Here is a 24974-nt window from a genome sequence, read left to right as displayed (position 1 = left end):
CAAATCCAAGGTCACAAAGATTTACTGCTAGCTTTCTTCTAAGAGTTTTATGGTTTTAACTCATACATTTGGGTATTTGATCCATTTTGAGCTGATTTTTATATAGATTATTTTTTAATGAGAGTTATCTGTGTTTCTTAGCTGTTTTATCTTCGGTGTGTTTCTAGTGTTTGAATCCACATGAAATTACATGAAAAGTTTTAAGAAAAACACCCATTTCATTCTTCTTTGTATTATTTTTGGTCATTTGGTGGAATCCACTTACTGACATAGAGTTATTAATTTTAATTTTCTTTAACCTAATGCTATTGTGAGTTGAAGAATACACATGTTCCCTTTTACAGTAGCAAATACAAGTCAGTGTAGTGCTGAAGGCTCTTGCTCTGTTAACCTGAACAGTTGGTCTCTGTTCTAGAACAATATCTTCATTTTCTGAGAACATTTGTTTGGGATCTTTCAATGAAAGCATCTCTCTTCCCATCAGCCTCTTATCTGCACAATGAACAAAGCTACTGAGTAGAGGGCAAAAGCTTAAGACATGCAGGTGACTTGGGAACTGCCACATCCCATATGCTGTAAGTGCTGAAAGTTAACATACATATTAAAGTTGAGTTCTGGCAACTTCACAATATATTCTCTTCCTCAAATAATATGCTATAAAGTTTTATTATAAAGTCATCTTCTTTTAAATTTTTTATTAAAACAAGATGTTTTTTCATCCTTTAGTATGCTTAATTTAGCATTTGGTGATACTGCTCTTTTTATAAATAGCATGTTTTAAATTTAAAAGTGTTAAGATCTCTTAAAATGTACTTTGTATTTCAAAGAGCTTCTGCTACCCTGAAATATCACATGCCGAGTAAAAAGCTGAAATGGAATTTTTGCACTGAATTCACATAAATTTGTTTCTGTTCTTTGGTTATTTTGGTGTACTTAGCTTATCAGGTTCTTAAATAATTTGCTATAAATAGCTGAGTTTCACATTTTATGGTTGTAAAAATTGGTAATTATCTGATAAATACTGCTGTAGTTGAGATATAACAGGCAGTGGGCATTGTATCAAGCCATAAAATAGTTTACTTAGCAGTGCTAAGTAGAACAACGGATTTTCAATATAAATTTTATTTTAAAATGATAGATCAATAATGTTTTTCATGTAACAGCTCAGTAATTTAGCTTAGTATTTGGAAAAGCTGCTTTAGCACCTCAGAGGGATTTTTTCCTGTAAAAAAAAAAAATTACAATTTGCACCTGCCTTGATTATGGATGGAAGCAGCTTTCAGCTGCACGGTGTTGTATTGTGGGGGTAGTTATGAATTGCTTCAAGTTCTGTTACGGTGACCTTCCAAGGGACTTGGTAGGTTGCATCAGGGATAGGAAGTTTGCTGTATTTTGGAATGCAAGCAAAAATATTGGCACATTGTTTCTCCAGCTGACTCTAAGAGCACTTTTCTTTCTGTGCGGGGTTGGGAGGTTAGCCTCTATGTGGAGAGATTTGCTGTGTGGGTTGGCTTGTGTCCGAAGAAGGAGCCCTTTCAGATTTGGATCGGATGACTGAAACGGGGAAATAAAGCAGCAGTCGAGCTGCTTTTGTTTCTGGGTATAAGAGAAGGCTTCTGTATGTTTAAAAGATGTTTGTGTCTGGGTGCGCAGTCATTAAATGGAGAACACGATCTTGGAAGGAGATTTAGTCATGCACTTGAATATAGTATGTTGCAGCTTTACTTATCTGCTGCTTTAATTTTTCTTTTCGAAAGCCGTGTTTTCCTAATTGTTGGCTGCTAGGAGTAGCTCACATATATTGAATATTTACTCTGTATCAAGCAGTGTTCTTTCTTTAGATGGATTATTTAGTCCTCATAACAACCGCAGCTGAGTTCAATACTGTTGCTGTTCCCATTTTATGCTAGACGTTGTTGTTGGACTTTGGCCGCTAGTCCACACAGAACCCAAATTCTTAAATGAATTTTAAAAAAAATTGTTAAGTATTCTTAGTTAAAATATATATTGTCTTCCATATCTTTAAATGTGTATTATCTGAGAACTTGCTTCTGTCCCTCTAGGCTTTCTCAGGTGGACTGTTTCCCTCTCAAAACATAGGAACTAGAGTCTTGATGTCTTTTAAGTCTCTGAGTTAACTGTTAGTTATGATACTAACTTCTGTATTTTATTAAATCTTAAGCATCACTTGTAAGAGGTACTATTTTTTAAATATACAGCTAAGAAAGAAAAAGATGTCATAAAATGGTGCTTCTTAATCACTTAAAATTTTATACTTGATAAACTCTTTGAGACTTATGTAGATACAGATTTTTACACTTGGGCTCATAGAGACAAAAATGTATATGTGAAATAAACGAAGGTATTTCTAAGGCTTCTTTCCATTCACAGTTGAGTTCTTCTGCGTTGCTTTTCCACGCAGCTGCAGATGTCCATGTATTTCCACACAATATGGTCCTCTGTGCCATCAAGAGCATTGTTGATACAGCATTTCTTAGGAATGCCACTGTTGTCTACAGAATTTTCTTCCAAGCTACTGACACTCATTCTGTAAGTTCTATGGGTATGCACAGGCAATGAGGATACATCACAACCGCCATCTGCTCAGCAATGATTGTAGGATACATTCCAATTTTGGAGATTCATTGTAGAATCAAAACTTAGTATTGTACTCTTAAAGGAAGGAACAAAATCAAAGGCTGAGATTTCTTAACTTCATCACCTTTAATGAGGCTCACCATTACATTTTCTGAATGTGCTTGTGTTAATTATTAGTAATGGTAACAGAGTACAGACAGTATACTAATTACAATATTAAGCAGGGCTGGCTGGTTAATTCTCTCTTGAGAATTTGAACTAGGACATATCAACAGCCTTGGGATCTGAAGCTATAATAACATGAGATAGAGAGGTTCCCAAAACCCATTAGAGTCATGTAGAAGCCGTGTGATCTTAAGCAAGTTATTTAATTTCTCTGTACCTCACTTTCTTCAGCTAAAAAAAGTAAGGATGATAGTTTCCATGTCAAGACTTTTTGATTTAATGAGTTAATATCTGTGGAGTCTTTAAAACATTGCTTGATGTACTGGTAAGTGCTATTTATGTTAAATAAGCTAATAAACAATCAAATAAATGCCTGAAATCATCAGGAATTAGGGAACAATGTATGAACAGAAGAGGCCAGCCAACAGAGAGAGAAGAATGGAGCAGATGTGCAGAAACTGTGCAAGAGTGCCCCCGCTGGTCCTAAGGGACTAGGCCAAGATGCAATTTCTAGAGCTAACTCTTGGGACTGGGGGATGAGGAATGGGAGGCAGTGCTGGCACCTTCATTCACCTTCATTCACTAGAACTGTCACTGAGTGTAAATAAAGGTCATTTGTTTGTGTGACTGTTTTTGTAAGAGAGTGTGTCAGAATGGAAGTTGGTGGCTGATTGAGACTTAGAGGGGGTGATTGGGAATGATGGATGCTAAGGCTCAGTACCCAACATTGCCCTTACTTAGCTATGTCAATCAATGACCTCTCGTATTCTTACCAGAAATAACCCCACTTTTAAAAAAGTGCTTTTTAAAGAAAAAAAAAAAAAGCTCATTTGGTCACTCTGTTACTTTCCAACCAAAGCATTTCAGGTGTTTTCTCAATATCTTTGGTCTAGAAATGACCCAGGATAAGGTCCAACCTGCAGGGTTGTCAATCTGCTATGTTCTCTTGAGTTGGAGAGGTTTAATAGGACTGAACAAACCCCCTGGAGCATCACCTTATCGGAAGTAAATTGACTTAAGCAATCACAGGAAGTTTCTCCTTATACAAAGTGTGCCTGCTTCGGGTTCTTGATCTGAGTCAATTCTGTGCTTATCTGATGTCAGCCTGGCAATAGAACCAAGGCTTTTATTGTCACCTAATTCTGGTTTTTCCTTCCATGCATGTTCTTTTGAAAAAGAACTCTTCTTTCTTTTCTCTATAATTCTTCATGTTAAATAACTGAAATTGTAATGATAGGTGAAGAAAGTGGGCCTTAGAATTCTATTGACCAGGCTTTCAGTGCCCAGCAAGCCTTCAGAGCCTCGGTCTTGGTGTTTGTCTTGAGGATCCTCTGCAATTATGCTGTTTAAGCTCCAGGTCTTGCAAATAATAGTATTGACTCAATAAAGGCAGTGACACCTGTTCGCAATTAGAGCAACGGAGTGAGGGTGAGATTGAGGATCAGTATATACCACGCCCCCTCCACCTGCACCTTACCACCAGAGTCCTTACTGAAATGAGCCACTGTTACTCATGGGAGGATGTGTGGGGGATAGGAATGAAAGCTGTGCTACTTCTGTTCTCATCCCTTCCCATCTTCCTCCAATTCCTGGGGCTCTTGCTTAGGAGACACGGTGCCTTCAAATTTGTCACCTTGAGGGGCTAACTACTTATTTCAGTGACAATTCCCTTAAATGTTTCTTAGCAGTCCTATATCTTGAAAGCAATCTCGGAAGGTAATGTTATTATAGATTTCATTTTATAGATAAGAAAACTGAGATTCAGCAGTTGGGTAATTCCTAAAGATAGAAGTAAAAGATAAGTTCCATTATAAACTTATAAATCAGCCCAAGTTTCTTGCTTCCGTATTTAAGTGTAATTATCAGGATGAGGATTTGACATGCACTTGTTCTTGACTCGCCTTTGTTGCAAGGTCTGGAAAGAAAGGAAGGCTGTCATTGTCGCTAACCCCTGTCCTCAGCAGCAGTTAGTTCCTGTGGATCACAGCCTCCCAAGGGGAACAGTCAGTTTGACAGTGGGTTCAGCTGCCTCTAGGGCAGAAGGGGCCATGTGGAGGAGCGCTAGCTGTCATCACAGAAGCCAGGCAAGCCAGGCAGATGGCCAAGGTGAGGAAAGTGTGAGGGCTTAGCACGACCTGTGAAAGGAAGGTCACGGATGGAAGCCATCAATTCACAGGGCTGGTGGCTGGCATGGGAGTCTAGCTTTAGACCATAGCAAACAGACCCGCTCTGCCAGATAAATCCGGTTTATTTTTGTCTTTTATTTAGTTGTATATCGTAGGCCTTCTCTCTTCCTTATTGTTTTACTTGGAGTAGGAATGGCAGCTGAAGTTTGTTCCTTTCCAAGTAAGAAAGAAAGAATACAGAAATGGGGGAAGGTACATGTTTAGTTCCTCATACTTTTGGTGAAAGCAGTAATTTGTTCAAGCAGTTGTTTTTTATCTTAGACTTTAGAGGTGCTGGGGTTGGGTTATTTTGGACTTTTGGACATTAGTTTACCATTTTAAAGAGATCAGTTCAACTGTTTTTAGATGGAACATCATGAGAGTCATAAAAATGCTGCTTAAAGGTAAGCTCAGTTTGCCTAGTTTAAGAATGTGAGGAGCACAGAAACTGAGTAACAGCACAGTTCTAAATAATTTAAAAAGGAAACATTCTTTAAAACTTATATTTGCTATTGTCTATGTGGGATCTTTTAATAAGAAAATAAAGACTGCCACTGAAGTGTCATTTTTTTTCCTCCCATTTTCTCGTGTTTGAAAGTTCCCTGGTTTGCCATCTGTAGGTAAATCTGTCTCCGCATTCAGAGGTGGAACCACCTTGACTTTCTCGGGGTAATCAGCTTGGCTCCCTGTTTCAGGATTTAATCATCATCCTTGCTGTTCATTGTCCCTGCTGCTCATTTTCTTCTTTACCTTTAACCCCTCTAGAAAGTCAGTTTCTGCTGGTCATGGAATTCTAGACACTGAAGATCTTGGGATAACCCCTCAAATGTGTGCAGAGTATCAGTTGCCTTCTTCCTTTTCCTTTTCTTTAGAACTAATTTCAGTTACAGTTTTTACAACATTTCTCACTCATGTCTTTCTCAAGCACCCAGCACGGAGTAGTATCTTGAGCTCTCAGGATTCTGTAGCTGGAAGGAAGCCCTGAGATGATGCCATCCCATCCCCTTCCTATGGCAAAGAGAACAGCAGGAGAAAGCAAGCACAGGAGCTACTGTAGTCCTCTCGAGGTCATTGCTGAGTAACACGTGAAATAACAGCTAAAGCCCACGTCTCCTGGCTCTGTCTGGTGCTATTTTCATTATAACACATTGCTTTGCTTGGTTATACTTGCTAGTTGCCCATTTGTCACTTTCATCATTTTAATGATTGTATGTCATTATAGTGGTCTAAATCCAGGTGTAAAATGAAGAACATTATAGAGTTACTTTCTCTCTACCTGTGTTAAAGGCTCTCTCTGTGCAGGTGCTGGATTGGGATTTATATGTGTAATTTCTCATTTAATTCCATGATGACCTTTAAAGTAGGCTTCACATTTATTGACTCAAAAAATAAGGCTTGCTTAAGGTCCCCCAGCTAGTAAGTAAGGAGGTTAGGATTTGAAAAAGGAGTCTAGGATTTGAAACTGTTTCTCTGTCTTCAAAATCTCTGTCCTTTCAGTACCTCCCAGTTACATACTCAGAATAAATAAATCTCTCACACTTGAGATTTTGTCCATTTTAGGTTTGAAACTGCGTAATCAGAATAATGGGTTTTTCTTAAACTATTATCCTACCTTTAATTTAAAAATAAAATTCAAGGGAAATTGTTGGTACAAATAAGGTGATATGCTTAAACACTCCTAATAATGAAGTTGTTTAAACTTACAGAAATGACATTTGACTTCAGCTGCTTCATCAGGTTAACTATGTAAGAAAGAACATTGGTATTTAGCAACAGACAGAGGGCTGGCTTCTAATTTTGTAACCTTTTACCCAGAATTTAAGTTACAGCTGTTAATTTGAAGTGTTTCTTTTAGGTTAGAAGAATATAGATAAATATATGTCCTCTTGTAGTTATTTTTCTTGTGGATAAGACATTGCAAGTCATACACACACACACAACTGGTAAACTAGAGCTAAAATAATCTCAAGAGTGTGACTGTAATGGCTCTATGTTCTGCCTGTTTCCCTTTAACTTACTTGACCTTCAGAGGTCCACAGGTTGGTTCTGTGCTGCATTTCTTACATCCCTTTTCGTATTTCCCCAACTCTGAAATTCTTGTGAGGAGAGCGCTCATCTAAAACCTCTTCCATCATTGTCTTCCCTTTATCTTTTAACAACTTAATCAGTTCTACCGTATACCATCTTTATTCACATATTTTTACTCATCCCCTTTGATATATTTTATTATTCCTGCTAGCCTCTAAGTTTTGCCCTTTATCAGAGGAAAATTACTCTCAGTTTTCATCAGATGCAGTAAATATAGAGAAAGAGACTTTGAACTTTGACCTGAGATTGAAACTCAGTTCTACTGCTTAACTAGGAGACCTTGGGTGCAATTTTTTTACTTGTAAAGCAGGGCTAGTAATAACCTTTCTCACAAGGTAATAAGATTAGCTAAGATTATGCGCCAAAGCCACTTAAAACTGCCTGGCACACTCTAGGAATTCAAACACGAATACTTCTCACCTGCCTTTCACCCCTCCCAGATTCCATGTGTGAAATTAGCCACAGTAGCTCTTCAGAGATTGTGTGGGATTTTACCTCTACAGCAACATCTTCCTCCTCTTTTAATTTACTACTTTTTATCACATAACAACATTTTCTAAAACCCTAATTTTTATTCTGTGTCACCATTTCTCATTGTTATTGTTACACCTCTACTGGTTTCTCCCATTATTTAAAAAAACCTTGTTGGCTAAATAGACTTTTGTGAGATATCTTGGAAAATCTACCAATGATGTTCTGCAGACAAATGTGATCTAGTATTCAGACAGCCAATTAATGTTAAAATTAAAACTTTTGTTTTTTCAGCTTTTTATTTTGAAATAATTTTAGCCTTAAAGGAATTAGAAAAATAGAGTTTTCCCATATACCCTTAACCCTTCTTCCCCTAAAAACTGTAGTATAGTTATCAAAGCTGTAAGATTAGCATTCGTTCATTAGTACTAAGTAAACTGTTGACTTCATTTGGATGGTATGAGTTTTTTCACTGCTGGTTGTTTTTTTTTCATCCCAAGATTCAATCTAGTATCCCACATTGCATTCAGCTCTCCTGCCTCCTTTGGCTTTTTAAATTTTTGACAGTTCCTCAGTCTCCTTGTCTTTATTGATCTTGACACTTTTGAAGAATCCTGGTCATTTATTTTGTAGAATGACATTCGGTTTGGATTTGTTCAATGTTTTATCTTGATTGTGTTGAGGTTGTGTATTATTGGGAAAGATCTGAGAGGGAAAACATGCAGAGATGAGACGATGCGCTCTTCCCGGTGCATTGTGTTAGGGATACGTGATGTCAATATAGCTCATTACTGGTGATGTTAACTTTCCTTATCGGTTAGGGTGGTCTCTGCCAGAGTTCTCTATTATGAAGTTACTACTGCTCTCTTTATAATTAATAAATATTTGGAGAGAGTTACTTGGAAATGTGTATCTATCCTGTTCTTGCTTAAACCTTTGCCCACTCATTTTAGCATTCACCGTTGGATCTTAACTGTAGCGGTATTATAGTGGTGTTCTGCTGGTGTTTTTCTGTTTCCCTCCTTCCTTCTATGTTTACTAATTGTAATTCTTCTGTAGAGAAGATTTGCTTCTCCCATATTTATTTCCTTATTTGTATTATTAATTTATATCAGTATGAGTCATGGATATTTTATTCTTTTGGTTTATAATCTAGTATTATTCCTATTTAATTTGTTGCTCAAATTGTTCTAGCTTTGGCCATAGGGAACTCTAATTTTGGCTTTTGTGTCCTTCAGTGTGCCCCCATCTTTTTTAAAAAAGTATTTTCTTACTTTCTGACACAGCACAAGATGCCCCTGCCCTAGGCCTGGAATCAATGACCTCTCCAAAGAGCCCTCCTTTTTTAAAGATCCGGGTACTTGTGCTTATTACAACTAGTGACAGCCCTAGGCTTCTAGCTCACAGTTAGGAAATATATGTATATCTAATAACAAATGTCCACGCAAACCTATATATTTTATTCTGGATCCATCTGTCTGTGTATGAACTCAGGAGTTCATAGTGTATAACTCTGATACCTAACACAACAAGGTTCTTTTTGATAGTCCTCCTTTTTGTATTTGTAACTTCTTTTTTCAACAGTGAGAAACTGGCTTTCATTATCAAAAACTGATTGGCTATATTTGGGTGGATCTATTTTTGGATTCTCTATTCTGTTGTGTTGATCTGTGTCTCTCTCCATTCACCAGTACAACACAGTCTTGAGTATAGTTCAGTCTTAAATAGTGTGAATCTTCCAATTTTATTCTTGTGATTAAAAATCATTTTGACAATTGTGGTTCCTTTGCCTTTCCCTATAAATATTAGAATCAGTTTTTCTGTATCTACAAAAAAACCTGCCAAGATTTTAATTGTACTAATTCTATAAATCATTTTGGACTGACTGATGTCTTAACTATAGTGAGCATCCAATCCATGAACATGCTATTTCTTCATTTCTTTACATCTTCTTTTGATTTCTCTCAAAGATTTTGTCATTTTCAGCATACAGATTCTGTACATATTTTTATTAGATTTATACTTTTTTTGAACTATCGTAAATGGTATTATATTTTAAAATTTGTTTCCAATTGTATATTGCTAAGATAGAGAAATGTGACTGACTTTTGTGAATTGGCTTGATATTCTTCAGCTTTGCTAATTTTACTTATTAGTTCCAGGAACTTAAAAAATAGATTTTAAAGGATTTTCTGTGTAGATATTTATGTTCTCTGAAAATGGGGACAATTTTATATAACATATAGATTTCCTTTCTATATGTTTTTAATTATATGTTTTTAATTTCTTTTTTTTTTTGTCCTTAATTGCAGTAGTTAGAACTTCTAGTATTATGTTGAATAAGAGTGGTAAGAGTGGGTATCCTTTCCTCGTTCTTGATTTTAGGGGGAAAACATTTGTTCTTTCACCAGAAAGTATGATGTTAATTGTGGGGTTTTTTGTAGATGTCCTTTATCAGGTTAGAAAGGTTCTCCTCTCTTCCTAGTTTGTTAAAGTTTTTTTGTGTTTTTTAATCATAAAGGTATGTTGAGTTGTGTGATATGTTTTTTCTACATCAATTGATACGATCCTGTGTGGGGTTGTTTTTTTTTTGCCTGTTAATGTGGTTAATTAAATTAACCGATTTTCAATTGAACCATTTCACATATTGAATTCCTGGGCTAAATTCCAGTTGGCATTGATATATTGCTGTTAATATTTTGTTGAGGATTTTTACTTTTGGGTTTATGAGGGATATTGGTGTGTAATTGTCTTTTCCTGTACTCTTTTTGTCTGGTTTTGGTAACATGGTAATGCTGGCCCCATAGAATGAGTTAGGAAGTGTCCTGTTGTCTTATATTTTCTTGAAGAGATCTTGTGGAATTGGTGTTATTTCTTCTTTAAATGTTTGGTAGAATTTGCCAATAAAACTATCTTGGCTTTGGGATTTCTCTTTTTGAGGAAAATTGTCTCACTACAAATTTAATTTCATTAATAGGAGACTATTCAAGTCATCTATTTCTTCTTCAGGGAGTTTGGCAGTTTGTGATTTTCAAGAAATTGGTCTATTTTATCTAAACTGTGAAATTTATACGTGTGGAGTTGTTCTTAGTGCTACCTTGTTATCCTTTTCATGTCTGTTAGATCAGTAGTGACATTCCCTCTTTTCTAATATTGATAATTTATATCTCTTCTCTTTTGTTCTTGGTCAGTCCAGCCAGACATTTATCAATTTTATTGATCTTTTCAGAGAAAGATCTTTAGACTTATTGATTTTTCTCTATTGTTTTTCTATTTTTAAACATTAATTGATATCTGTTCTCATTTCTAAACTCTTTAAAACATTTTTCTTTTATTTGTGCTCTTCTTTCTTTTGGATTGCTTTCGGTTTATTCTGTTCTTTTTTTTCCAGTTGCTTAAAGTGGAAGTTTAGATTGATTTGAGCCCTTTCTACTTTTATAATGTAAGCATTTAATGTTATAACTTTCTTTCTAATCACTGCATTAGTAGTATCCCATAAGACACTAAAAATCCCAAAAGACATTGTTAGAATTTTTCTTTGCACCATCATATTTATTTTAAAGAAATTAAGAAAAGAATAGTCTGTGGTATTTACCCAGATATTTACTATTTCTATTATTCTTCCTTCATTCCTGATGTTTCCAGTTTCCTTCTGTTGCCATTTCTCTCTGTTTGAATAATTTTTAAATTATTTTATTTTAGGGCAGATCTGCTGACAACAGATATTTCTCTTAGATTTTCTTCACCTGAGAATGTCTATTTCACCTTCATTTGTCAAGAATATTTTCACTGGGTATAGAATTCTGGGTTGACAGTTCTTTTAGGACTTGAAAAATGTTCCAGTTCCTTTTGACCTCCATGATTTTTGATTTTTGATGAAAAATCAACAGTCAATTGAATCCCATTTTTTTCTATAGGTAGTTGTTTTAATCAGGTTGCTTTCAGGATTTTTTCCTTTGTCTCGTGTTCACCGGTTTCATTGTGATGTGTAAGGGCATGGATTTCTTTAAGCTCACCCAATTTGGTATTTGCTGACATTTTTGAGTCTGTAAATTTATATCTTTCACTAGATTTCTAGAGTTTTTAGCCATTATTCCTTTATTTATTTGTTTATTTTTGAGACGGAGTTTTGCTGTGTTGCCTAGGCTGGAGTGCAGTGGCGTGATCTCGGCTCACTGCAACCTCCACCTCCTGGGTTCCAGCGATTCTCCTGCCTCAGCCTTCCCAGTAACTGGGATTACAGTTGTGCACCACCACACCTGGCTAATTTTTGTGTTTTTAGTAGAGACGGGGTTTTACCACATTGGCCAGGCTGGTCTTGAACTCCAGGCCTCGTGATCCGCCTGCCTCGGCCTCCCAAAGTGCTGGGATTACAGGCGTGAGCCACCATGCCTGGCCTTTCATTATATTCTTTTTTAATACCATACTCTCTTTTCCTTCTGGACCGTTATAGCATGAATATTAGACCATTTGGTATTATTCGATAGTATCCTGAGGATCTGTTCATTTTTTTCCCTTAGTCATGTTTTAATGTTTTTCATATTGGGTAATTTCTATTGATTTATCTTCAGATTTACTGACTTTTCTCTGTATATCAGATCTGACATCTGTGTGCACCACTCAGTAACCAGTCTTGGTCTTGGGTAGTGGTCTGTACTGCAGTTCAATTCTTAAAGCATTTGACGAGTTGTTTATGGTCAGATCCAGGCATGCAAAGCTTTCCTACAAAGGGATTCATACTCAAATTTATAGGATCACTCTGTTGAACTCCTTTCTCTCTGTGATATCCCTGACATTTTCTAGCTCTCTGAAACCCCCTTCCTAGTCTTCTGGCCAAAAAAATCAAAGCTTTAGCTTTTCCTCTCTGCCCTGCACTCCCCACAATTGCATTTACAGGGCCAAGTGGCAAGAGTACAAAGAGATTTAAAAAGCAACAGTTATTTGCCCCATACTCTTGGAACCACAGTTTCTCTAGTCAGAGAGGATTCTCCTCGTTCAGGGTTTTAGGGACCTACCTAGCTGTTGCCGCCACTGTCATTACTTGTGGATTGCTTGAAGACCCTGATGTGATGCTACATCAAAGTCATGTCCTCTTCTTCTCCTGGCTGCTGTGTACTTTTTAGAGTCTTCAGAATGCTGCCCCATGCAGTCTCTCTATGGTTTATAACTGCATTCCGTGGAGAAACAGGGTGAGGTGTACTGTATCTCTTGAAGAATCCTTAAAAGGCTGTGGATCTCCAGACTGAGACTCCCTTCCTTCCAATATATTTGTTTATTTGTTCAATCCTAGTATATATATAGAGAGAGTTTGTGAATCCGTACTCTTGCGAGAAACAAGTTTAGCAACTAGAGTACAGTATTTGTGTACAGGTCTTTTTTTCTTTGTATTACAGCATGAAGTCAGAAACACTGTTTCTAAAACTACTAGGGACAGCTCCCTTCATGCCTGTCAGTATGTTTGTATATGCCATTCATTTGTAATATAGTTGATTCATTTGGTAAGAGAGTGTTCTAAAGGTTGGTTTTCATATTTCTGAGATATCCTGAAATACCAGCATTCTCTGCCATGATTTTGTCTTTGGTCTGTTGTCTGGGTCTGACAGCCTGCGGAGTTGTACTTCAGTGTTAATTGTTTCTTCCACTTACCACCCCTCGCTTTGATCCCACTGAGCAACAACTCTTTCAGTGTTCAAATGAAAATATAATACAGTGACATGGTGTTTGAAACCAAATTGTTATATCATGTCCTTCAGTTTCATGTTACTCAGTTGTCCATGACAAGCCATGATTTCTAGTATTTTTTGAACTTGTTTACCAGTCTTTGCAGTGCAGAAAGTGGTTAAGTATTCAACTGTGGTTTTGTTTTTGTTTTTTTCTATCTTACATGCATACTGTAGGCTAACAGCAATTAAGATTAAAGAATGTCATTCCTCCTCTGCACCAGGAAGGTGTGAGATAGAAAGTTGTTCATTTAGAATTAAAGTTCACCTTTAGTTGGATTAGTGCTTTTCATTAGAGGAGTGAAGTGTCTTTTATCAGCATAGATTAAAATGGTATCAAGCACCTAAGCCGGAAACATAGCCGGCAAGCTGAAGCACTTTCTGGCTTTTCTCAATTCATATCTTCACAGCTTGAATTCTCTTTTAGTATTTGAAGTACTGTGTTGTGGAGTTCAAAAATATCGTGGTAGCAACAGAATTCAGAATGGCATGCAGCCTCTGCTTTAAGGTGACTATGGCTATAATGGAATAAAGGATTTGTTTTGTTAGAAAGATTTAGGCTTGGTTATTGGGTATTAACAATAGTGATTCTGGGAGGTGGACATTACCCAGAATGCTGAAGTTGTTCTTTGAACTATTTCTATTTGATTCTTATGATAGAAATAATCCTAAGTGGCTTTTGATCCTTTTTGGATCCCTTGCCAAAGGATCATGGACTCCAAAATTATTAAAATGATTTAGAATATCACTGGGAAAATGTAGGAGAAATAAAAACCTAATAGTGTAGAATGACATATAGTTTTAAGTTGTTATTGATATAAAAGCGGTCCAACAGTGAATCAAAATTTGAGACAGGGCATTTCCCTTTAATTGATGGAGATAATAAAAGTTAATATGGACGATAGAGACTCTGAAACTTACCTTGCCCGTTCCCCCTCCCCCATAAAAGGAAGGTGTCATTGCAAGTCTTTATTTTAGAGAGTTATTTTTTGAGAGGAGAGGGTAGTACATAAAGAAACATAAATTCATTCTGTAAAGGTTTTTGAAACTGTAAATTTTGCTAAGGCTTTGCAGATGATACAAAAAAAAAAACTTGAACTACTGAATGAGAAAAGGAGAATAGAGGACTATCAGGGAATTCAGGGGCAAGAATGCAGCAAAGGACTAAAACAAGGAACCGAAAAGATGGAAGATGATTCCACATACTCATTCTTGAGCCAATCAACTGTGTCTGGAGAGTTGAAGCATTTAGTATTAAATGTTGTGTCTGGGGCCCCTCCTCTGGGGGTAAGAGTGACATTTAATGGTTGTATTAGTCTGTTCTTGCATTTCTATAAAGAAATACTTGAGACTAAGTAATTTATTTAAAAAAGAGGTCTAATTGGTTCACGGATCTGCAGCAATATGGGAAGCATGGTAGCATCAGTTTCTGGGGAGGCCTCAGGAAACTTACAATCATGGCAGAAGGCAAAGGGTAGTGAGGTACCTCACATGGCTGGAGCAGGAGGAAGAGAGAGAGGGGAGAGGTGCTACACACTTTTAAACAACCAGATCTCACGAGAACTCACTCACTGTTCCAACCACAGGGGGTGATGCCAAACCATTCATGAGAAACCACCCCCATCATCCAGTCACCTCCCACCAGGCCCCACCTCCAACACTGGGGATCACAATTCAATGTGAGACTGGGGCAAGGACACAGATCCAAACCCTATCAATGGTTAAAGGGTAAACTAGACAGAACTCCCAAAAGTTGTCTCTTACAATACCATGTTTAAGTTTCTAGCTTATAAGAATTAAAGCCTCTAATGGTATGTGGCCTTCAGGAAGGTTACAAAATTTATCAAACTTGCAAATACAAGTTTTTCGACCATTTTTATTCATAAGCTTGTCAAACTGTTTTAACAATTTTCCTCCAGGTGGCTGGCTGCTCCACATCTTAAAGATCACTGCATTTTTAATGGCATTATATTTTTTAAAAAGATGATTTCCTTTTCCTCTTACATAATCTACCACCATTTTTAGAACTCTCCATATAATATACTTTCCCTCCATATATAGTCATATTTTTTCATGCACTTTTACTTAAATTTCATAGGACCCCTTTTTTTCCCTTTATTCATGCTATTGTGTGTTGGAAGTTTTTTGAGACCTAAGAAATTTTAATTTTCAGATTTAGAAAATACAGCTTTAATATACCCACAAATGATGTGGCATTTTTTGAAAGGTCACATTTTTTATGGTTAGAAGGAAAATTGGAAATATTCATGAGTCATTTTAGTTGTCTGAGCTTAATGCCAGTTTTTCTCTCCAAGGTTAGATGCTTAATTTAAACCCAGAGTATCACTTATCTTCACGTGTCTGATTTTGATTTTTATGATGTGACAGAATATAATGATACAGTCCCTTGGAGGAAAAATTTTAATGAGCATTTGTGGGTGATAAGCATGTTGCTGCCATCAGCTTTTCTGTCGATGCTTCTGATAGTGGTGATACTGCACCAGACCTCAGCTCCCTCAAACATCACCATTGCAATCATTTCAAGATTGAACTCTCAATTTCCATGTCAAACTCAGGGAGGCAGACATTCCTGGTTCTCTCTCCAGCTCTGTCATTTATTAACAGAATGATTTGGGGCTGGTTACTTCACCTCTTTGAACTTAAGTTTTTCTTATCTATAAATTTGGGAAGAATAATTTACATACCTGTTGACTGTTAAACACTTAATATGTTTCCTGGAAAAGAATTGCTGCTCAGTAAATGGTAGCTACTGAGCCACTTAATGACGTAGGTGTTTTCTTTGCAATATAACTTCCCCAGTGAAAAGTCCCTATCTTAGTTCATTTGATATCTCTTTTATTGATTTGCAGTGCAAATGTATATGGCTCTCAAAAGTTGGAGCTCCCAGAAACTACCATGGGAAGTTGGGACAACGAGAGTAAAACAAATTTAGGAATAGAATGGATTAAAATTTATTAGGTCTCAAAAAACTTCCAACACACAATAGCATGAATAAAGGGAAAGAAAGGGCTCCTATGCAATTTAAGTAAAAGTGCATGAAAATATATGACTATATATGGAGGGAAAGTGTATTATATGGAGAGTTCTAAAAATGATGGTAGATTATGTAAGAGGAAAAGGAAATCATCTTTTTAAAAAATATAATGCCATTAAAAATGCAGTGATCTTTAAGATATAGAGCAGCCACCTGGAGGAAAATTGTTAAAACAGTTTGACAAGCTTATGAATAAAAATGGTTGAAAAACTTATATTTGCAAGTTTGATAAATTTTGTAACCTTCCTGAAGGTTACAAAGGTTGACAAGCTCATTAGCCAGTCAAGTCATATTAAATTGGTGGAGTTGATTGAATTGTGAAAACACTTAAGTAGAGGTGGAAGAGGAATTTCTATAGAAAAAGAAAATGGTAGTGATACATTTAGAGATGTACTTGGAGATGTACAATTCAAATACATGAAGTAGAAAATGGAAACTGAAAGAACAGACCTGTATATAATAGAGTGAGGCATAAGTTGAAGCCAGAATTTCTGTCATGTGTGTCTTTTACCTTAGATCCTGGGATTCCTATTTTAATGTCAGTAAAAGAATATAATTTTTAAGAACAGGAAAATAATCATGCTTTGCCTGTTGGCCAGGCCATTAGTCAAACATCCTATTTTCTCTTTCAGACTCTAGAATTAAAGAAAGAGGCCGGGCATGGTGACTCAAGCCAGTAATCCCAGCACTTTGGGAGGCTGAGGCGGGTGGATCACGAGGTCAGGAGACCGAGACTATCCTGGGCTAACACGGTGAAACCCCATCTCTACTAAAAATACCAAAAACTAGCTGGGCGTGGTGGCGTGTGCTTGTAATCCCAGCTACTCGGGAGGCTGAGGCGGGAGAATTGCTCGAACCTGGGAGGCAGAGGTTGCAGTGAGCTGAGATCACACCACTGCACTCCAGCCTGGGCGACAGATCAAGATTCCGTCTCAAAAACAAACAATCAAACAAACAAAAAGAATTAAAACTGGAGAAAATTCAGAGAAGAGTAGTAGAAATAGTCAAAGGCTTATAAAAAATAAGGCCCATAAATGAGGAAAGGGTAAAGGAGTTGTGAATCTTTAATTTGAAGAAAAGTTTAAGAGACCACTTAACTGTCTGAATATGCAAAAAATTGTCAAGAAAAGAAGGCTGAACAACTGTTTTCTTTCTCACAAAGAACTGAAGAAAGAGAAACAGTTCAAGAGCTACTTAGATTAGATGAAAAGAAGTATTTCTTGCAAAAGAGAAATCCATATGAGTCATGCTTACTGTTCAACATATCTTTGTTTGGCTGTGTTCTTAGGAGGTAGGGTACAAGCCTTCACTGAACATTTGTTGACTTAGAGTCTTGGACACAATATTAGCACTCAGCCTCAAAATTAGCATTTTTATCTCGCACTATTCTTTATTTCTTGGTTCTTCTATGCACATTACTCTCTCTTTTGTGTCTCCACCCCCTGTTTCTCTCTTCTAAGTTATAAGGTAGTACAGAGCACAAAACAAATTCTTGTGGCCACTAAGAGACTTTCCAGGAACTGATCAATTAGCAGACTATGGAGGAAAATCTTTTCCCACAATGTTTATGAAAATACTTGGAATCACTGTTTACCTCAAAAGATAACAATTTTTACTTAAAAATGGTAGGACCTTTCTTAAAGAAATCTTCACAGTAGTTAATGGGAAATGGCTCCAAATAAAATTTTGTGCCACAGTGATGGTTTAGTAAATTGGTTAACTGTATTTCCTATCATTAATGTGGAAAAAATATATATTTTTAAAGTGGGAGCTGCTGAGTTAATAGGGTTTAAAAGCTAAGTATATAGAAAATACTAAGCACTTTTATAGTGGAATAGTTAAGTGAGTAATAACAAATTAACATATGCCCAACGCATTGAGGTAAAAATAGTGGAGGGGAGGAGCCAAGTGATCATTTGGTTGACCCTTTACTCAATCACAAACACTAAATTGGGACTGGTACAGAATTTTAAGTGCCTTTTTCTTGGGCCTTACTGTTGTAATCTTTCTTTAGAACGGTTTGATATACCCTTTGGAGGGCTGGCCTCTGTGGATGTTGTCTGTGCCAAATTACAACACAGAACAAGGGACTGTTCTGTTTCATTTACTGAGAATAGTGCTTAATAAGTACTATTTGACAACATGCTGAATTAAGAGAATGTTATAAGGATGTTTCACAAAGGAAAGTGAGTAAAACATCTGATGTTTACAAGTTCTATTTATATATATGTTGATAGCAATATAAAGCCATGCTTAAAGCTTTATTTTTAAATTTTTATTTAATACATGTGAATATGTATGCTGAGAGAAAATGATCTCATCTGGTTCCAAATATATACAGTATCTTGATATAGTTAATGCTATTTCAGAATCCAGTTTTTTTTGTTGTTTGGTTTTTTGCCTTGTTGGTTTGAAATGTATCAGACCCTGGTAAATTGATTTACGTTAACCAAAACACATGCAATACTGATTTGCAACCGGGAATATAGTCATGATTCTTTCCTTTCACTTGCCTTTGACTTTTATCTTATCCTAATATCTTATCTTACTTTATCATCATAAGTAACTATGGTTTCCTTTCTAAAAATGGAATCCCAAGTTGAAATTATACTGTGGGATCATATATTTATGTAACCGTGTTTGCACAAGTATAAAAAAGATCTGTGAGATTTAATGTCCAATGGAGAAATAACTGTCAAAAATTTTTATAATACTTCTATTTATACTTCAGTGTCACAGGCTTAGCATTTATGTTGAATTTAATTCATCATAGATTTTAGCATATGGAAGTACTCCTGTGAGACACTTGCTTTTTTTTTTTTCTGGCTGGTGGGGAGATGGGGGTCTCACTATGTTCTCTGGGCTGGATCGCAGCAGCATGATCTCAGTTCACTGCAGCCTCTATCTCCTGGGCTCAAGTGATCCTCTCACCCCAGCCTCTTGAGGAGCTGGGACTACAGGCATGTACCACCACATCCAGCTAATTTTTGAATTTTTTTTGTAGAGACAGGGTCTCTTTATGTTGCCCTGGCATGTCTCAGACTCTTGGGCTCAAGTGATCCTCCCACTTCAGCCTCCCAAAGTGCTAGGATTACAGGTGTGAGCCACCATGCCCAGCTCCATTTCTTAATAGACATCTATACTCTATAGTCAGGTCTAACATATGAAATAATTAACTTGTGTGTTGAAGTACAAAATACTATAATTTGTCATTTAAGGGAATGTAAGATTTAGATGATCCTTAATGCTCCTTGCAACTTAAAGATTCTGCGCCTCACTGACGTTAAGCTTGTATGAGACCTGTAGTCTGTTGGAATACATAAGCAGCTGCCTGTGTTACACAGTTGTGAGGTGGTAATATACTTGTGATGATTTTAAAGAGCTCTTTCTATTGTCACTGACAACAGAGTCTAAGAAAAACCTGAATTATTGCATAATCAAATAAGACCTAATTTCCCTTTCTTTTTCTTACCTTGGAGCTGGTATAATTCTCTTGCACAGAGCAAAGGCCAACATCAAAACAAGAGAAAGATATAAGGATAAACAGAATAATGAAGTAGTGACTAGTTTTCACATTCACATGTGAATGTATTTTTCAGTGTAAACTAAAACATAGTGTAAACTAATACCTATTTCATATTTTATTAATATCTGGCACTTGTGTAACATTTATGATTTGCAGAATGCTCTCACTGATGTTCTCATTTAATCCTCATAACAGTTTCTGAAAGAAGTACTGTTCTCACATCGCAGATGAGAAAACTGCCTGCAAGCAGTTTAATCAGGAGCACACAGCTAGTGTCCCACTGGAATTCTTACTCTGCCCATAGACTTAAAAGCCAGCCCTTCTCTCTGTTGCTTCACTGTGTTCCCCTGGGCTGGGTTTGCTTTGATACTACATTGAGATACACAATTTAGGTCAATGTTTATGTGCTCATATGAAATTTGAGTATCTCATTTATTTTATAGAATAGGCGATTTAGTTTTCCCTCTCAGATGGTATAATGTTTGAGACCAAGAAGCAGGAGGCCGAGTTCTAGTCTTGCTGTCGCCACTGACTGATCAGGAACCTTGTACATATTTCCTCAATTATAAAAGGAAAGCACTTGACCTTTAGTTTCTCCAAGCAGACTTCTAGTTCTAAAATTCTGTGATTCCAAATTTGTTCTTGTTCCACTCAAAGTTGTTGCTTTAAAAAACTCCAACCTCATATGATTAGACCAAATTTTTACATATGTTGTTTCTAATTGTCTAAGCCAGGAATTTTTAGGCTTCAAGTTTTGGATAGTGTAGTAATAAAATCCCTTTTTAATGATAAAGAAAACCTTTCTTCCAAAAAATTCTATTCTGTAATAAATAGTGTTCCTTAGTAAAGCTCTCATCCTGAATTTGGAGAATGGAAAATGACAGCATAATGCCAGTTACACAGGAAACTTAATCCAGGAAACATACATTGAGCATCATTATTAAGTACTGGAGTTGCTAAGACCTTGAGCTCTCAGCCTAGTGTGGAAGGCAGACCTACAAATACGAAATGTCACTGCAGTTAAAAGAAACCTGGGGAAGAGGTGTACCAGGGCCAAGGGAGTGAAAGGAAAGAATCAGTTCCATCTGTTGAATGGAAGATGGGAGGCATGCCAGCAAAGGCTTCACTGGGAATGGGAGTTAGAAGTCAGAGAAAAACTGGAAACCATCATTCTCAGCAAACTATGGCAAGGACAAAAAACCAAACACCGCATGTTCTCACTCATAGGCGAGAATTGAACAATGAGAACACAGCGACACAGGAAGGGGAACATCACACACCAGGGCCTGTTGTGGGGTTGGGGAAGGGGGGAGGGATAGCATTAGGAGATATACCTAATGTTAAATGAAGAGTTAATGGGTGCAGCACACCAACATGGCACATGTATACATATGTAACAAACCTGCATGTTGTGCACATGTACCCTAAAACTTAAAACTTAAAGTATAAAAAAAAAAGTAGGAGAAAGGATAATTTTAGGCAGAGGGAAGTGTGTACAGAGGGGCAGAAGCTTTAAGGTTTATAGTTCTGAGAACCTCAGGTAGTTTGTTTATATCACCTGCTGGAAGAGGATGATGTGCTGGAAAGGTAACTTGTGTCTAGCTTGGGAAGGTTTTGTGTGGATTTGGGAGTATCCTAGGCATTAAAGAGACTGTTAAGAAGGGAAGGAAAAACAGATCTCTTGCAAATATGACAGAGGAGACTCTCCAATTTCTAGCTTGGGTAATATGGGGGAAGGGCTTTCTAGGCAACAGAATAAGCGTGAGAAAAAAAACATGGAGGCCTGAGATAGACCCTGGAGCTGTCTTTATCTGTGCACCTTTTTTTGATTCTGCCTTCTGATATACGTTACCAGTGTTACTGCTGTGGCTGGGTCCTAAAGGGTTTCATGCTGCACCCCACGGCGTTTGGACTTTTTTCTTAGAGTAGTGAAGAGCCATTGAAGGTTTCAAAGCAGGGGAATGATGTGAGCAGATTGGCATTAGGAAGGTTCTCATAGCACCAGAATGGGAACCAGTTTAGATGGATGTTAGAATGTAATCAGCTGGGAGCTGCTGGGAGCCTGTATTAAGCCTAGAACAAAGGGGATGTGCAGAAGAGAATGGACCTGAGGGACAATGAGTTAGAACAATGACAATCATTTTAGCCAAGCTTTGTTGAGTGCTTACTGTGTACCAAGTGCCTGGTCCAAGTGCTTTGCATTTACACACACATTTAATCCAGCCTACAACCTTACAAAGTAGACACTATTATTATTAGTATCTGCATTTTACTGATGAGGGAAGTGGGTTAAGTAACTTACTGGGCCTGTGCTTGACAATTATGTATAACTTTAAATATTATACAACAGCTATCAGGATTAGTGAAGCTTAATATAGTTTCATTGGCCCTTTCATAATTGCCCTCCATCCAAAGGACTCTGAATGGGACTTGAGTTTATGTCCTTTCTGAATCTCCCTGGGTATATTTATAAATGTTACTCTAAATAGGTAGATGCAGCGCAGATACTGAGGAAGGAACTCCAGCTGCTGCATAAGTGAGAACAGTCTGAGGTGCCGCAAGATTGTTGGATTCTCTGTAATGAAGACAGAGCCACGGCAGAGAACGTTCATGTTTATGAAACCAATGCAGTTAAGTACTATGTGGCTCTCTTGCATCCAGCTTTGGGATTCTATTTTTTTTTTTTTTTCATTTTTGAAGAGAAGGGGGTCTCACTGTGTTGCCCAGGCTGGTCTCAAACTCCTGGACTCAAGCTGTCCGCCTGCCTTGGCCTCCTAAAACATTGGAATACAGGCATGAGCCACTGCGTCAGCCGGGATTCTGTTCTTTGCAAATTAAATGGAAACGTTTTTTACAAACTTCCCATGGGTATATGGTTTCCCAGTGGTGGTCATTGGGATGGATGAGTGCCCCAGGGTGGCAATTCAGGGTCAGGAATAGTGAATCCATAAAGTGGGGGAGTCAGTGCCCAGCAGCAGTTGAAACCATTAGATGCATCCCGGGAGGTAGAGATGTGTAGGAGTTTAAATCATAGTGCCCATTTCCCTCAATATCAGTGGCCAGCAGGGTTTTTTTTTTTCCTATTTTTAAATATTTTCTGGTCCCTAATATAGTCATTTTGGCAAAAAAACAAAAAGACTTCCCTTTCTTCTTTCCCCTTCCTGTCTAGGGTTGAAAAGTACAGTCAAAGGAGCAAAGAAAGGAAGTCTCAAGACCTCAGCATGACAGATAGAGTAATAATTTTGAAACTATTTAAAGCTATGATAATTATGCTCAGTTAACTTTAAAAAGCCAAGTGAAATTGTTGAAAATTATTTCAAACTTTATTCTTAAAGACTAATAGGTTTTGGCTGCATTCATTTCTCAATTAAATTTATCTGAGTTTAAGATTCTGTTTATCTCCAGAGCCTGTGGAGTGTGTTCTTTTGGCCTAGTGGCACTGTAAATGAAGCAGGCTATACTGTTACGTGGCTCTTCCACTCACCTTAGGCGAGGTGACAACTGCTTTCGTATCATAATATCTCAAAGTATAAATGGGTTTCGGTTGCTTTTTACCCATAAAGTCTTTTTGAAAGGTACTGTATAAACACAACACTTGACCCATCATTCTCTTTAATTCTGTATCTACTCTGTACTGAAATAACGAGCTTCCTTCCTGTATTAGCATGTGTGATAGGCAGAATTCTGAAATGGCTCCCTTGTACTCATCCCCTGGTGTTATGCCAGATTATGTGTATGGCAAAGGGGGATTTAAATTTTACAGATGTAATTTTTAGGGTCCCTAATTGGTTGAACTAGTGTCTTAGTTCAGGCTGCTGTAACAAAGTGCCATAGACCAGGTGGCTTATAAACAACAGAAATTTATTTCTCACAGTTCTGGAGGCTGGCATTCCAGGATCACAGTGCCAGTATGGTCAGGTTCTGGTGAGGGCCCTCTTGCAGATTGGAGGCTGCCAACCTCCTTGAATCCTCACGTGGCAGGAAGAGAATGAGAGAGGTGCCTGGGGTCCCTTCACTAATCTTACCCATGAGGGCTCTACCCTCTACTTACTTCCCAGATGCCCCACTTCCTTATACCATCACCCTGGAAGTCAGGATTTCAACATGCACTTTGGGAGAAAACAAGCATTCAGCTTATTATCCATGGAGGGAGACTATCTTGGTGGCCCGACCTAATCAGGCAAGCCCTTTGAATGGAAGAGATTTCCCTAGTTGGTCACAGAAGAGAAAGTCAGAGATATTTGAAGCCTGAGAGGGATTTAGCATGAGACAGGTTTTCTGGTGCTGAGAAGGGGATGGGGCCACTGGGCAAGGACCTGAGAATAGGAATCAAGAGCAGTTTCCAGTGAATACCCAGCAAAAGGACAGGGACTTCAGTCTTAACAACTGCAACTGAATTCTTCCAACAAGAATGAGCTTAGAAGAGGACCCTGAATTCCAGATGAGAATGCAGCCAGCTGACGCCTTGATTTCAGCCTGAGTGGAGAGCCCAGCCTTGGAGTGCTAGACGTCTGACTATATTTAAGCTGCTAAGTTTGTGGTAACTTGTTACACAGCATTACAAAACTAACACGTTATCCTTCTCTTCATTTCTGTCTACTTACGCTGATTATTGGTCTTGAGTCTTGCAGTGTTAGCATCTCTCAAGCTTACAATATGTTTTCCATCTGTGGCCTTAAGAGCCACTGTTGCGTTAAATGAAAGAGAACCCTACTCGTTTCTTTCCCCTTGTCTCTTTTTGAAACCCCCAGTTCGATCTTATTGGTTCTATTGTATTATGATACTTGGTATGGATTTCAACCTCTGGGGCAGGTAGGAAAGGCCTTAGCCTCTCAGTTGAGAGGTTACTTGTTAAATATCATCATGCTTAAAGTGATTTGAGGATACAGGTTTCTTTCCCTTTTACTTTACTGAGTTAATTCTTGGTGATTTTATGTCATGCTCACGTTATCCTTTGGAGTGGGTCTGTTATTCCCATTTCATATGTAGCAAACAAGCAAAAGAACAGTATGTGGCTATTCCATAACAAGGTGGAATTGAGCCCTAGAACAGAGAGGTGTGTGGGATGAGTAGAGGGTGTTTACAGTACACAGCAACCAGGAGCCGTTGACTTTGGCTCATGGACTTTGACACCATGGACATCTGAGACTCATCACGGAACTCTGTAAGCATAGCAAGAAGAAAGT

The 24974-nt window shown here is 37.5% G+C and overlaps 1 protein-coding gene across 4 annotated transcripts in view; it reads left to right on the top strand.

Moving 5' to 3' along the window:
* The window catches only part of GAREM1 (GRB2 associated regulator of MAPK1 subtype 1), a 207361-nt gene that overhangs the window by 27650 nt on the left and 154737 nt on the right, over window positions 1-24974 (top strand). The window contains exon 1 of one of the 4 annotated variants that reach the window (XM_024451234.2): window positions 22342-22418. The exons of the other annotated variants lie outside the window; for them this stretch is intronic. The gene's annotated coding sequence lies outside the window, so the exon portion shown is untranslated. Of the gene's footprint in view, window positions 1-22341; window positions 22419-24974 lie in introns of those variants that run through there. 4 annotated transcript variants of the gene reach the window in all.

Source organism: Homo sapiens, chromosome 18, assembly GCF_000001405.40.
Source record: "Homo sapiens chromosome 18, GRCh38.p14 Primary Assembly".
Lineage (NCBI taxonomy): Eukaryota > Metazoa > Chordata > Mammalia > Primates > Hominidae > Homo > Homo sapiens.
The sequence above is the reverse complement of the archived record's forward strand: the minus strand, read 5'-3'. Positions and strand labels throughout refer to the sequence as shown.